General features: G+C 49.4%; 2 non-coding genes and 1 pseudogene across 2 annotated transcripts, besides 11 other annotated features; 2 read left to right on the top strand and 1 right to left on the bottom strand.

Moving 5' to 3' along the window:
* Positions 88–844: an enhancer, noted in NCBI's record as "H3K27ac-H3K4me1 hESC enhancer chr5:180586450-180587206 (GRCh37/hg19 assembly coordinates)". NCBI's record gives its function as "activates a minimal SCP1, AML or CMV promoter by ChIP-STARR-seq in naive and primed H9 embryonic stem cells {active_cell/tissue: H9 hESC(naive and primed)}" and the evidence as "EXISTENCE:reporter gene assay evidence [ECO:0000049][PMID:30033119]".
* Positions 845–1,600: an enhancer, noted in NCBI's record as "H3K27ac-H3K4me1 hESC enhancer chr5:180587207-180587962 (GRCh37/hg19 assembly coordinates)". NCBI's record gives its function as "activates a minimal SCP1, AML or CMV promoter by ChIP-STARR-seq in naive H9 embryonic stem cells {active_cell/tissue: H9 hESC(naive)}" and the evidence as "EXISTENCE:reporter gene assay evidence [ECO:0000049][PMID:30033119]".
* Positions 1,021–1,200: an enhancer, noted in NCBI's record as "active region_23777". NCBI's record gives its function as "activates an Ori minimal core promoter by ATAC-STARR-seq in GM12878 lymphoblastoid cells {active_cell/tissue: GM12878}" and the evidence as "EXISTENCE:reporter gene assay evidence [ECO:0000049][PMID:35858748]".
* Positions 1,775–2,064: an enhancer, noted in NCBI's record as "active region_23778". NCBI's record gives its function as "activates an Ori minimal core promoter by ATAC-STARR-seq in GM12878 lymphoblastoid cells {active_cell/tissue: GM12878}" and the evidence as "EXISTENCE:reporter gene assay evidence [ECO:0000049][PMID:35858748]".
* Positions 2,235–2,404: an enhancer, noted in NCBI's record as "active region_23779". NCBI's record gives its function as "activates an Ori minimal core promoter by ATAC-STARR-seq in GM12878 lymphoblastoid cells {active_cell/tissue: GM12878}" and the evidence as "EXISTENCE:reporter gene assay evidence [ECO:0000049][PMID:35858748]".
* Positions 2,235–2,607: a biological region, named in NCBI's record as "ReSE screen-validated silencer GRCh37_chr5:180588627-180588969".
* Positions 2,265–2,607: a silencer, noted in NCBI's record as "fragment chr5:180588627-180588969 (GRCh37/hg19 assembly coordinates)". NCBI's record gives its function as "represses an EF-1alpha promoter that drives an FKBP-Casp9 reporter gene in an ReSE screen in phorbol 12-myristate 13-acetate-treated (for megakaryocytic differentiation) K562 erythroleukemia cells {active_cell/tissue: K562(+PMA)}" and the evidence as "EXISTENCE:reporter gene assay evidence [ECO:0000049][PMID:32094911]".
* Positions 4,187–4,481: a silencer, noted in NCBI's record as "tiled region #11855; K562 Repressive DNase matched - State 1:Tss". NCBI's record gives its function as "represses a minimal TATA promoter and a strong SV40 promoter by Sharpr-MPRA in K562 cells {active_cell/tissue: K562}" and the evidence as "EXISTENCE:reporter gene assay evidence [ECO:0000049][PMID:27701403]".
* TRV-AAC1-2 (tRNA-Val (anticodon AAC) 1-2) lies at positions 4,792–4,864 on the top strand. The gene has a single exon. It is a non-coding gene; the product is annotated as a tRNA-Val (tRNA).
* TRL-AAG7-1 (tRNA-Leu (anticodon AAG) 7-1) lies at positions 5,202–5,283 on the bottom strand (annotated as a pseudogene).
* Positions 8,512–8,601: a silencer, noted in NCBI's record as "silent region_16779". NCBI's record gives its function as "represses an Ori minimal core promoter by ATAC-STARR-seq in GM12878 lymphoblastoid cells {active_cell/tissue: GM12878}" and the evidence as "EXISTENCE:reporter gene assay evidence [ECO:0000049][PMID:35858748]".
* Positions 10,139–10,869: an enhancer, noted in NCBI's record as "H3K4me1 hESC enhancer chr5:180596501-180597231 (GRCh37/hg19 assembly coordinates)". NCBI's record gives its function as "activates a minimal SCP1, AML or CMV promoter by ChIP-STARR-seq in naive H9 embryonic stem cells {active_cell/tissue: H9 hESC(naive)}" and the evidence as "EXISTENCE:reporter gene assay evidence [ECO:0000049][PMID:30033119]".
* TRV-AAC1-3 (tRNA-Val (anticodon AAC) 1-3) lies at positions 10,248–10,320 on the top strand. The gene has a single exon. It is a non-coding gene; the product is annotated as a tRNA-Val (tRNA).
* Positions 10,870–11,599: an enhancer, noted in NCBI's record as "H3K4me1 hESC enhancer chr5:180597232-180597961 (GRCh37/hg19 assembly coordinates)". NCBI's record gives its function as "activates a minimal SCP1, AML or CMV promoter by ChIP-STARR-seq in primed H9 embryonic stem cells {active_cell/tissue: H9 hESC(primed)}" and the evidence as "EXISTENCE:reporter gene assay evidence [ECO:0000049][PMID:30033119]".

Genomic DNA, 13,297 nt, shown 5'->3' on the forward strand with positions numbered 1-13,297 from the left:
GATCTGTCCTGATCACGTTGAGCCCCATAGCCTGACCCTGGAGGAATGAGTATCTGCTGTTGTGAATGAGGCCAGCACCCTTCCCCACCCAGGAAAACCAACGGCCACAGGAGGGCAGCAGAGAGCCACGATCCCAACCAGAGGAGAAAGCACAGACAGCATGGGGCAGGTGCAGGCGCTTATGTTTGTTTATTGGTTTGTTTTCTTTTTTATTTAAGTGACCTGTGCCATCGTATTGGGCTGAAATAGCCAGGGATGTGGCCATACAGACAGATCTAGTGTAGGTGAAAAAGAGAGCGGAGTGGGGTCCAGACTATTCCAGCCTCCCTCCTGCTGCCCTTGGCAAGGCTGCCAGCCTCTCTGTGCCTCGGTGTCCTCATCTGTCACATGGGGATAATAACAGTATGGACTGCAGGGGGCTGGCAACAGTAAAGAGAGTGAGGTGCGTGGCGGCAGCACAGGTCGGCCCAGGAGGACCCCGTGGGAGCTCCTACTGACTGCGGAGAAGATCAGCAGAGGCCCCGCTGAGGACGGCCTGGGGGAGGTGCAGGGAAGGGGCTCATGGGAGGGTGGTGGGGAACACCTGCAGGCAGAGGATGGGTGTGATTGTGGGGACCTCAAAAGCCACACCCAGAGCCAGGGGGTGCTGCAGGGCAGAGGCTGCAGCGGGGAAGTGCCCATGGCCCGAGGTCCCTGTGGGCGAGGCCCTCCTCTCTAACCCACAGCCATCCCCCAGGCCCAACTTTCAGGGGTGTGGGAGGTCTGCCTGTCTCCCGAAGACCCACTGTGGTCACTAACAGACTGGGACGTACATGAGGGTGACCCAGGCAGGCAGGTCTGGGCCTCCCTGGAGCTGGCAACCGTGCTCCCATCATCCCTGTCCCAGGGCCTGTGTGGTCCTGAGCTGACACCCGAGGGTGACACCCCACACTCCACACATGGCAGAGTGAAATAATAGCACCCTGGCCATGGTAGCGCACGCTCACAGCCCCTCCAGCACAGAAATGCAGGGAGCAGGGGGCAGCGTCGGGGGTGGCCAAGGCTTTGGCCTGTGGCAGGCCCTGAGCTCAGAAGGATGCAGGGGCTTTGCCCAAACCCACACTAGGTGCAGGGCCGGGGAGGCTGTTTCAGGAGGCGAAGGAAGGGCCCCGGGCGGTGAGGGGAGAGGCTGGTTCCGAAAGTGTGGGCGACGCAGCCAGAGCCTGATGACTGAAGAGTGAGCAGGCGGTGGGGCTTCCTAGGAGGCAGTGAGGAGAGGCAGCCCAGACCCAGTGAGATCACACCTAGGATGTCCCCAAGAAACCCCCAGGGCTGGGGCCAGGTCGTGCATCGTCATTGGGGGTGGGGCCAGGACGAGCATCGTCACTGGGGGTGGGGCCAGGACGAGCATCGTCACTGGGGGTGGGGCCAGGACGAGCATCGTCACTGGGGGTGGGGCCAGGACGAGCATCGTCACTGGGGGTGGGGCCAGGACGAGCATCGTCACTGGGGGTGGGGCCAGGACGAGCATCGTCGTTGGGGGTGGGGCCAGGACGAGCATCGTCGTTGGGGGTGGGGCCAGGACGAGCATCGTCGTTGGGGGTGGGGCCAGGACGAGCATCGTCGTTGGGGGTGGGGCCAGGACGAGCATCGTCGTTGGGGGTGGGGCCAGGACGAGCATCGTCGTTGGGGGTGGGGCCAGGACGAGCATCGTCGTTGGGGGTGGGGCCAGGACGAGCATCGTCGTTGGGGGTGGGGCCAGGACGAGCATCGTCGTTGGGGGTGGGGCCAGGACGAGCATCGTCGTTGGGGGTGGGGCCAGGACGAGCATCGTCACTGGGGGTGGGGCCAGGACGAGCATCGTCATTGGGGGTGGGGCCAGGACGAGCATCGTCATTGGGGATGGGCAGCCATGTGGATGAGCCGAGAGATTCCAGTGGGGAAAAAGGAGACGAGGCCGAGATTGATGATCTAGAGGCGCCCGCAGCCTCACAGACCCAGGTGCCCTGGCAAGCACAGCCCTGCTCACACAGCAGACATGGGGGTGGGGATGACTGAGTGTGTGCATAGCAGGGAACAGATAAATGAGCCTAAAGGCATGGATAAGTTTAAAGGCTAAAGAAGGGCCTTGTGCAGACCAATCCTGAGCGGAAATGAATGCAGGAGTCCAGTTGGCCCCTGCTGAGAGGGGAAAACCGGTGTCTTAAACTCAGGACCTAGAGTCAGGAGGAAAGAGGTTCCAGATAGGACCCAGATTAGGAACCTCCTCACCCACTCCTCCCTCCAGAGACTACAGCAGAGGGGGAGGCCCACAGGCAGCACAGCCTTCAACTCCTGGTTTCCCCAGAAGACACTGTGGGCATTTGTCCAACTGACCTCAGAGGCCCCCTCCAGGACACTGTGACAGTTTATACCAATCTGCACTTTTGCTCCTTGAGCTCTTATCTTTGGGGCAGCTCAAATGATGACAATGGCTTTTCTGGCCAACTTACCCAGACTCTGTCCTGAGACGAGTAAGCAGGGCCCAGTCTTCCCAAGGCCCTCCCTGTCTTCTGGGACACCATGTGGGTCCTTCTGAGACAGTGGCCAGCTTTGCCCCAGCCCAGAGCAGCTGAGCCAGCGGTGGAATGACTCTCATGACAGACAGCTGTGAGCTCCTGCTGTGCCCCAGGCCCAAGGCTCTAGGGGGTCAAAGAGGTAGGAAGAAGAGCTATGCCAGGGGGGATGCTGGGAGGCGTTTGGGGGTGAGTGCCCCATCTCTGTCACATGGGCCACCTTCTCCACCTGTAAGAAGGACATCCCAGAAAACTGGCTCTTTATCTTGGCTTTCACTCACTCTGCTGAAGGGCAGGATATTCAGCAGAAATCTTAGAAACAGGGCGAAACTCAGTGACAGGAAAGCTGAGAGTTTAGAGCCAGCAGGAACCTTAGAGATCATCTCATTCACCCTCTCATCTTGTTGATGTGAAAACAGGCTCAGAGATGGGAGTGGCTGGCCTGTGGTCACAGAGTGGGTCCCCAAACTGTGCCCAGGGCCTGGGTATGCATCACTTCCAGAAATGTGTAACACTGGAAATGAATCCGAATGGCCTTCCAAAGCGGCAAAGGCAGCGCCAACCCGGTTTCTCCTCCTGGACGCATTGGAACAACCAGCCAAGCAGCCCCAGAAGATCACTTCCTCCCACCTCTAGCCTAAAGGTGACACTTTTGAAACCCCCCGTAGCCTCCCTTTGCAGTTTGGACCCTGCCGTTCTGTTCACCTGGAGATCTCAGGCCTGAAAGGTCTTACTGTGGTGGAATTACGTTTCCCTCAAAATCCATCTTAGCACTCCAACCCTCTTTCCCTCAGAATGTGACTGTATTGGACATAGGGCTTTTAAAGAGGTGGTCACACTAAAATGAGGTCACTAGGGTGGACCCCAATCCAATCTGACAGGTGTCCTTATAAGAGGAGGAAATGTGGACACACAGGGCCATCACGGGTACATGTGCACAGACGAAAGACCATGTGCGGACACATGTTTGGGGTGTGTGTGTGTGTGTGTGTGTGTGTGTGTGTGTGTGTGTGTTTGGAACAGGGTCTTGCTCTGTTGTCCTGGCAGCAGTGCAGCAGTGACGTCTCTGCTTACTCCAGCCTCAAACTCCCAGGCTCAACCCATACTCCCACCTTAGCCTCCCGAGTAGCTACAGAAACTTCAGGTGTGTGCCACCACTCCTGGCTAATTTTGGGATTTTCTGTAGAGATGATGTCCCAATATGTTGCCCAGACTGGCCTTGAACTCATCGGTTCAAATAACCCATCTGCCTCGGCCTCCCAAAGTGATGGAATTACAGGTGTCAGCCACCAGGCGAGGCCAGTTCCTCTGTTTTTTGTTTTGGGGGATTTTTTGGATGTTTGTTTTCTGTTTCTTTGTTTTTAATGGAAGAGATATTTAAGAGACACCTCACAAAGGAAGATTAAAAAAATGAGTCATACACATGAAAAAGTGCTTATCGTCTTTCCTCATCAGCTAAATGCAAACTTAAACCATGAGGAAATACTACATACCCAGAAGAATGGCTAGAAGTTAAAAAATAATCATCGTAATAGGTGAAAAGTACCAAATGCTGCCAAGGAGGTAGCCTCATAACGCTTTCACATGGTTGATGGGAGGAAAATAACCTAAATGTCCAACAGCAGTGGCTGCTTGGATAATCTAGAGCTCTACCAAACAATGGAACAATAAAAATGGTGTTGTGGGCTACTTCCTCTTTCATTCCACTCCAGTTTCTCCAGGCACACAAGCTCCAGCTCCACTCACGAACGCATGGCCTCATATTCCCCAAGCAGCTTCTTCTGAAAGTCTCTTCTCTTAGAAAACGCTGCCAGCGCGCCCCTGCTGTTCAACCCCCAGGCCCACTGTCAACCCCAGACAGCTCGACTGCCTCACGTCTCTCTGAGGTCGCCACCACACCTTCTGTCAGGACTCCCATGCCCGCTTATGCCACCACATCAGGCATGAAAACTTCCTTTTCTTGCTTCTCTCTCTCTCTCTCCCTTTTTCTTTCTTTTCTCTCTTTCGAGACTGAGTCTTGCTCTGTCTTCCAGGCTGGAGTGCAGTGGCGCAATCATAGCTTACTGCAGCCTCGACCTCCTGGGCTCCAGCCGTCCATCCATCTCAGCCTTCCAAGTGCTGAAACGTCCTTTTCTTGTGTGCTCATGCCCATTAGCCAAGCTCGAAGGGACGCATGGAGGAAGCTCAGAATTACCATGAGAAATAAAATGCGGCCTTGTGTGGTGGCTCATTGTGGTGGGTCAGAAAACGCGTGCAAGTTTCCGTAGTGTAGTGGTTATCACGTTCGCCTAACACGCGAAAGGTCCCCGGTTCGAAACCGGGCGGAAACAGAATCTTATGCTTTTCATCTCATTACTTCAAATTTATTACAAGAAAACTAGCCTGGAACACCCCACCACTATCTCCACCTGGTTACGGAGAAAAGGCCATCAAGGGTATTTATACCGTTGCCTTTCCTCAACGGTTGAGGCACCTGGGAAGAACTGAACCCACCTCACTTGCCCTGGACAGCGGCGCCGACGAACTTCGCACAAAGCCCGTCCGCTGGACGGCTGCGCGCTGCCAAGTGGAATCCAGATCCCGAGCATGCGTGGGGCCCAAGGCGAGTTCCAATGAATCCTCCTTTTGCAACCCATGGGGGGACAAAATGGAGAAATCACAACAAGTTGGCAGAGGTGGAATTCGAACCCATGCCTCCGAAGACACCGGCGCCTTAATCCGGAGCCTTAGACCGCTCGGCCTTGCTATCTTTCTCCTGGCCGTATACTTACATATTTCCTTTCTTTATACAACATCGCTAGGGTCCCCGGGCCAACAAGGCGTTGGGGCGAATCCACAGGGCATTGCAGAACCACCGCCTTGCAGTACGATTCTCTGGGCCAGAGGCACCGGCTGGGAAACGGCTCCACCAGCGCCCTGGCGGAGAAGATTCGAGAAGCGCAGGCCTCGGGATCTGCTTTGGGGGGTCACTCAAAGTCACCCACATCGGCCCTCTTTGGGGAGCCGGCGTGAGTGCTGGGGAAGCCTTCTACCCTCTCACTTTAAAGAAAGATAAACAAACCAGGGCCGGCCAAGAGCGGTGGCTCACGCCTGTAATCCCAGCACTTTGGGAGGCCGAGGCGGGCGGATCACGAGGTCAGGAGATCGAGACCATCCTGGCTAACATGGTGAAACCCCGTCTCTACTAAAAATACAAAAAATTAGCCGGGCGAGGTGGCGGCGCCTGTAGTCCCAGCTACTCGGGAGGCTGAGGCAGGATAATGGCATGAACCCGGGAGGCGGAGCTTGCAGTGAGCTGAGATCCCGCCACTGCACTCCAGCCTGGGCGACAGAGCGAGACTCCGTCTCAAAAAAAGAGCAGAGAGAAACCCTGTACATCCATTCCCTTTTTTTTTTTTTTTTTTTTTTTTTTTTTTTTTTTTTTTTGCTGTGAACTGTGTTCCTGAGTAGAGGTTGGTTAAGCTCTGACACCAGAATTTTCAGGTGTACGGCTAAAGAGCATTGCTCTTGCAAAAGTACCCATGATTCTCCAGATCTTTTGTTTTACTTCAAAAACATCTTCTAATCCTGACAGAGTCTTCACAGAGAAGTGTTTGTTTGTGGTGAGGTCCAACTCACCTTTTTTTTTTTCCTGTTTGGTGTCAAGTCAAAGAACTCTTCACCCAGCTCTAGGTCTAGATTTTCTCCTATGTCTTTTTGAAGTTGTATAGTTTTAAATCTGACATTAAAGCCCATGATCTCCTTTGGGTTCATTTTTGTCTCAGCTGTGAGGCTTGGCTAAGGTTCATTAGTTTGGCCTATGGCTGCTCCAGCACTGTTTGTTGAAAACACGATCCTTTCTCCATTGTATTGCTTTTGCACTTTTATCAAAAACTACTTGAAGCATGGTGCGTGGCTGACGCTTGTAATCCCAGCACTTTGGGAGGCTGAGGTGGGCAGATCCCTTGAGGTCAGGAGTTCCAGACCAGCCTGACCAACATGGCGAAACCCGGTCTCTACTAAATATACAAAAATTAGCCGGGTGTGGTGGTGCAGGCTTGTAATCCCAGCCATTTGGGAGGCTGAGGCAGGAGAATTGCTTGAACGCGGGTGGTGTAGGTTGCAGTGAGCTGAGACGGCACCACTGCACTCCAGCCTGGGCGACGGAGTGAGACTATGTCTCAAAACACAAAAACAACACAAAACAAAAACTACTTGAAAAGAAAATATTTGCAAAGGACATATTTGACAAAGGACTTGTAGCTGGGCTATATAAAGAATAATCAAAACTCAGCACTGAGAAAAAATCCTACATATTAAAAGAGTGAAAGAAGGAAAGAACACGATAAATGCAATTGACGCGGAAAAAGTATTGGACAAAATTCAACACCCTCTCGTGACTAAACACTCAACAGGCCAGGCGCGGTGGCTCACGCCTGTCATCCCAGCACTTTGGGAGGCCTAGGTGGGCAGCTCACTTTGAGATTTCATCTCAAAAAAACCCCAAAAAACAAAAAACATTCAACCAACTGGTACATGAAAGCATACTATTAACGGAGCAAAAAGGCAACCCACATAATGGGAGAAACTGCTAGCAAATTACGTGACTGATAACTGATGAATATCTAGAATATGTGAAAAACTCCCACAACTCAACAACAAAAAATAAATAACCCAATTAAAATATGCACTGTGGCTGACGCCTGTAATCCCAGCATTTTGGGAGGCCAAAGTGGGTGGATCACTTGAGGCCAGGAGTTCGAGACCAGCCTGGCCAATATGGTGAAACCCTGTCTCTACTAAAAGTACAGAAATTAGCTGGTCGTGGTGGCACGTGCCTGTAGTCCCAGCTACCCGGGAGGCTGAGGCAGGAGAATTGCTTGAACCCGGGAGGCGGAGGTTGCAATGACCCGAGATTGCACCGCTGAACTCCAGCCTGGGTCACAAAGCGAGACTCCATCTCAAAACAAACAAACAAACAATAAAATAGAGGACAAAAGAGTAGAATAGACAGTTCTTCAAAGAAGATATAGAAATGGGGATAAGCACATGGAAAGATGCTCAGCATCATTAATCATCAGGGAAATGCAAATCAAAACCACAAGAAGATACCACCTCACAGTCATTAACATGGCTATTTTCAGAAAAACAGGAAATAACCAAATGTTGGTGAGAACGTGAACGAATTGGAACCCTTGTGAGTTAATGACAGGATTGTAAAATGATACAGCCACTGTAGAAAATAGTTTTACGGTCCCTCAAAACTTTAAACAGAATTACCATATGATCCAGAAATTCTACTTCTGGGTATAAACACAAAAGAATTAAAAGCAGGGAGTGGAAAAGATATTTGTACAGCAGTGTTCATAGCAGCATTATTCACAACAGCCAAAAGGTGAAAACAACCAAAATGTCCATCGAATAATTGAGTGGATAAAGAAAATGTAGTGTATACACATGATGGGCTATGACTCAGCCTTAAAAAGGAATGAAGTCCGGACATATGCTACAACATGGATGAACCTTTAATCTTACACAGACTGAAGTAAGCCAGACACAAAACAGCAAATATGGTGTGATTCCACTTATGAGGAATAGTGTGGTCAGATTCACAGGGATAGAAGAGCAGGAGTTACTGGGGCTGGGTGAGGAAGGAACAGGGAGTTGTTGTTTAATGACTATACTGTTTCTATATGGGATGATTAAAACATTGAGGCTAGTGGTGATGATTACATAAGAATGTGAATGTACTTAATGCTATTGACATGTACATTTCAAACTGTTGAAATGGCAATTTATGTTGTGTATATTTTATTACAATTTCTAAAAAGAGAAAAAAATCCATTTAGAAAATGGGCAAAAACATGAGGAGACATTATATAGAAAGGGAAATGAAGGTACCAAATAAGTACATAAGGTGTCCAACAGCACTAGCCATTCAGGAAATGCAAATTAAGACGAAAGGGAGCTATCACTATACACCTATTGGAACGGCTAAAATTAAAAAACAGCCAGGCGTAGTTGTGCAAGCTGTGATCTCAGCCATCCCAGAAGCTGAGGCGGGAGGATCACTTGAGCCCGGGAGTTCAAGAGCAGCCTGGGAAGCACAGTGCGACCCTCCCCTTACCCCTGCCCGGGCAGTCCCCCTACTCCCCACCTCTACTGCCCCCTGCCGGTGTCTCAAAAAAATGAGATAACATCAATGCCAGCAAGAGCGCAAAGAAACCAAATCTCATAGAAGGCTCGTAGAAATGTGAAAAGACACAGCCACTCTGAAAATAGATTGGTCATTTCTTCAGAAACTAAAAATGCACTGAGCATATGACCTAGCAATTGCATTCAACCATTTATCTCAGAGAAAAGCAATATAATAGCCAAACTGAAAACAATGCAGACTTTCACCTGGTGGATGATTAAACAAACTGTGGAATATTTATAGCTTGAAATGCTACTCATCAATAAAAATAAATGAATTACTGTATTGATACAATTAGAGTGGATCTCAAGGGAATTATGCTAAATGAAAAAAGCCAGTTGCTAGAGGCCACGGGCTGTATTATTACATTTGTATAACATTCTTGACATAACAAATTTTTAGAGACATTAAACAGATTCGTGGCTGTCAGGAGTTAGGAACTGGAGGACAAGGGACGCTGTAGGGGTGTGTGTGGCTCTAAGAGTGTGGTGCTGGCTGTGATAATGGAACAGTTCTGTATCCTGATTGCGGTGATAGTCACAGGGAGCTACACGTGATAAAATTGCTGTGTAGAGAAACATACACGCACACACACACACACGAATCCATGTATAACTGGAGGGGTCCCAGTAAGCTCTGTGGATTGTACCAATGCCGTTTTCCTGGTTTTGTTACCGTGCTACAATTATGTAAGACGTCATCACTGGGAAAGACCAGTGCCTGAGACCTCCCTTTAGTTTTCTTTGCCACTTTCTGTGAAACTATAATTGTTTCAAAATGAAAAATTGGTTTGCTTTAGGTTTTATGTTTTCCTTTTTCTTTCTTTCTTCTTCTTTTTTTTTAAATAGACCTGGGGTTTTGCCACATTGCCCAGGCTAGTCTCAAACTCCTGAGCTCAAGCAATGTACCCACCTCCGCCTTCCACTGTGCTGGGATTACAGGCGGGAGCTACCGTGCCTGGCGTGGTTTTTTCTCTTTCTTTCTTTCTTTTTTTTAAGATGCCAGATTCTAAATTGGCACGCGAGGGCAGTTCCTCGTTTTTGGTTTTTGGGGATTTTTTGGTTGTTTGTTTTTTGTTTCTTTGCTTTTAATGGAAGAGATATTTAAGAGACACCTCACAAGGGAAGATTTAAAAAATGAGTCATACATATGAAAAAGTGCTTATCGTCTTTCCTCATTAGCTAAATGCAAACTTAAACCATGAGGAAATACTACATACCCAGAAGAATGGCTAGAAGTTAAAAAATAATCATCGTAATAGGTGAAAAGTACCAAATGCGGCCAAGGAGGTAGCCTCATAACGCTTTCACATGGTTGATGGGAGGAAAATAACCTACATGTCCAACAGCAGTGGCTGCTTGGATAATCTAGCCGTCCATCCATCTCAGCCTTCCAAGTGCTGAAACGTCCTTTTCTTGTGTGCTCATGCCCATTAGCCAAGCTCGAAGGGACGCATGGAGGAAGCTCAGAATTACCATGAGAAATAAAATGCGGCCTTGTGTGGTGGCTCATTGTGGTGGGCCAGAAAACGCGTGCAAGTTTCCGTAGTGTAGTGGTTATCACGTTCGCCTAACACGCGAAAGGTCCCCGGTTCGAAACCGGGCGGAAACAGACTCTTATGCTTTTCATCTCATTACTTCAAATTTATTACAAGAAAACTAGCCTGGAACACCCCACCACTATCTCCACCTGGTTACGGAGAAAAGGCCATCAAGGGTATTTATACCGTGGCCTTTCCTCAACGGCTGAGGCACCTGGGAAGAACTGAACCCACCTCACTTGCCCTGGACAGCGGCGCCGACGAACTTCGCACGAAGCCCGTCCACTGGACGGCTGCGCGCTGCCAAGGGAATCCAGATCCCGAGCAAGCGTGGGGCCCAAGGCGAGTTCCAATGAATCCTCCCCCAGCCTCCTGCTCGGCCCCTGCAGGCCCCGCACCCGCCTTTCCCCTGCAGCCCCGTGCGCCCTCGCGCCGCCTCTTCCACATCTCCCTGGGCGGAGGCCCCGCTCCATCGCGCAGTGCCGTCCACCGTTGTCCGCCTGTGTGGCCTCGGTCTTCCCTTGTTCCTCACCCCCACCCTTCCCCTCTGGGGAGCAGGATCCGTGCGTTTTGTTTCCTTCGTGCTGTGTCCCCTGGGCCTGGAACTGAGCTGCCTTGGCACAGCTGTAGATTCCGTGAGTGTTTCTTCAGTCGTACCCAGTGCTAGTGCGGGTGTTAATTGCTCTGACCCTGGTCACCCGCCCGTAAGAAAGGCGCTGCTCTCACCCCATTCTACAGACGAGGAACCGCCCCTCCCGGGGTTGTGTAACTCGCACCTTGACAGCCAGCGCAGGAGCTGACCCGCCCAGGCGGCCCCTGCAGAGGCCCAGCACACTCAACACCGCGACCCTCCTGCGGCCCCGAGCGCTCGCCGACAGCAGCTTTTCTCTCCTAGATTTAAAAAGACAGCTGTGGAAAATAAAAGCCAGTGCCCCCATCTCCTCAAGGACCAGGACTTTGCACATGACACACAAAACACAGCAGCACACACTGGCCCCTCCTGCAGACGCACATTACTGGGTGGACGTGCCGGTGTTGAGTGTTGGCCGTAAACGATCCTATGACGGATCCTCATTTCGTTTCTGTAACATGCACTTTTCGTTTTTTAAACCCATCCATTGGCAAGGTCTCCATTCCGGCAGTTTTGGATTGGATGACTTCCATCACGTCCCTCCCAGCTTCAGTCTCGCGGTGGTCGCTCATCTTCATTTACTTGGCATCTCCGTAAATTTACTCACATCTTGATTATTTATACAACTACTTTAGCTTAATTACAAGCAACACTAAGCAAGAACTTCAAGTTTCAAGGTGCAAGTTACCTGCTCTCCAAGGCTGCATTAAAGCATTCTGTAAACATTAATTATGCTCTGGGCCACAGGAATCATTTTGCACACTGCAACGGTCACTCAGCTGATCCCTGGGGAACACTAACTGCCTCGCTGCTGTGTTTGGGGGTCTGTTTTTATGGTTTAGCATTCCATAACAGCTTTATTGGGGCACAGTTCAATACAATAAAGTCCACTCACTGTAAGTTTACAGCTCAATGATTTTTAGTCACCGCATAGGATTCTGCAACCATCACCACAATCCAGTCTTAAAACAGTTCCGTTACCACAAAGATTTCCGACATGCCCATCTGCAGCCAGTCCTGGCTCTCGGCCTCAGTGGTACAGAAGAAGTGATCTGCTTTCTCTCTGTTTTCATCTGCCTTTTCTGGAAATGTCATATAAATAAATGGTGGTAGTGGAATTGCTAGTTTCAAGTTTCACTTTCTATACCAAAAAGTTAAACATAGGGTTACTATACAATCCATCAATTCCACTCCTAGGTATATATAAAAGTGAGTTGAAAACCTTGGTTCACATAAAAAATGTACACAAAATATATATGGTATCATTTTTCATTATAGCGAAAAAGTGGAAACAAAGGCTAGGCAAGGTGTCCCATGCCTGCAATCCCAACACTTTGGGAGGCCAAGGTGGGTGGACTGCTTGAGGCCAGGAGTTCCAGACCAGCCTGGGCAACATAGGGACCAAGTCTCTACAAAAAATACAAAAATTAGCCAGGTGTGGTGGTGTGCACCTATGGTCCCAGCTGCTTGTGAGGCTGAGGTGGAAGGATCACTTGAACCAAGGAGGTGGAGATTGTAGTGAGCTATGATGGCACCTCTGTACTCCAGCCTGAGTGACAAGAGTGAGAATCTCTCTCAAAAAAAAAAAAAAAAAATTGGAAACAACATAAATGTTCATTCTTTGATGAATGGATAAACAAAACGGCATATTCATCTAATGCAAAGATGTATTAATTTACTTATTTGTTTATTTATTTGGAGACAGGGATTCACTCTGTCATCCAGTAGCATCCAGTAGCAGTGCCCTGGTGTGATTACAGCTCACTGCAGCCTTGATGCCCAGCAAACTTTTTTTTTTTTTTTTTTTTTTTGTAGAGACGTGGTCTTGCTATGTTGCACTGGCTGGTTTCCAACTCCTGGCCTCAAACAATCCTCCTGCCTCAGCCTACCAAAACGCTAGGATTGCAGGGGTGAGCCACCATGCCTGGCCTATTTGAAATGTTTAATTAAAAAGCAAAAAATGAACAAAAAGAATTTGGGCCCACATATATGCAGTTATTTGATTTTCACCAAAGGCACCAAAGCAATTCAATGTGGAAATAGCGTCTTTGCAACAAATGGGTTCAGGAGCAGCTGGATATCCATAGGGGAAAGAAATTAACCTTAATTCCAAACTCATACCATAACAGAAAAATTATATGAAACAGAATTTACACTTAAACAGACAAGCTGAAATTTAGGAGTTTCCAGAATTAAAAAAGACATAGGAGAGTCTTTTTTTTTTTTTTTTTTCTTGGAACAGGGTCTTGCTCTGTTACCCAGACTGGAGTGCAGCACCGAGATCTCTGCTCACTGCAGCCTCCATCTCTCAGGCTCAATCAATACTCTCACCTCAGCCTCCCGAGTACCTACAGAAACCGCAGGTGAACGCCACCACTCCCAGCTAATTTTTGAATGTTCTGTAGAGATGATGTCCC

The sequence above is a fragment of the Homo sapiens genome, chromosome 5, assembly GCF_000001405.40.
Source record: "Homo sapiens chromosome 5, GRCh38.p14 Primary Assembly".
NCBI classification, from domain to species: Eukaryota; Metazoa; Chordata; class Mammalia; order Primates; family Hominidae; genus Homo; species Homo sapiens.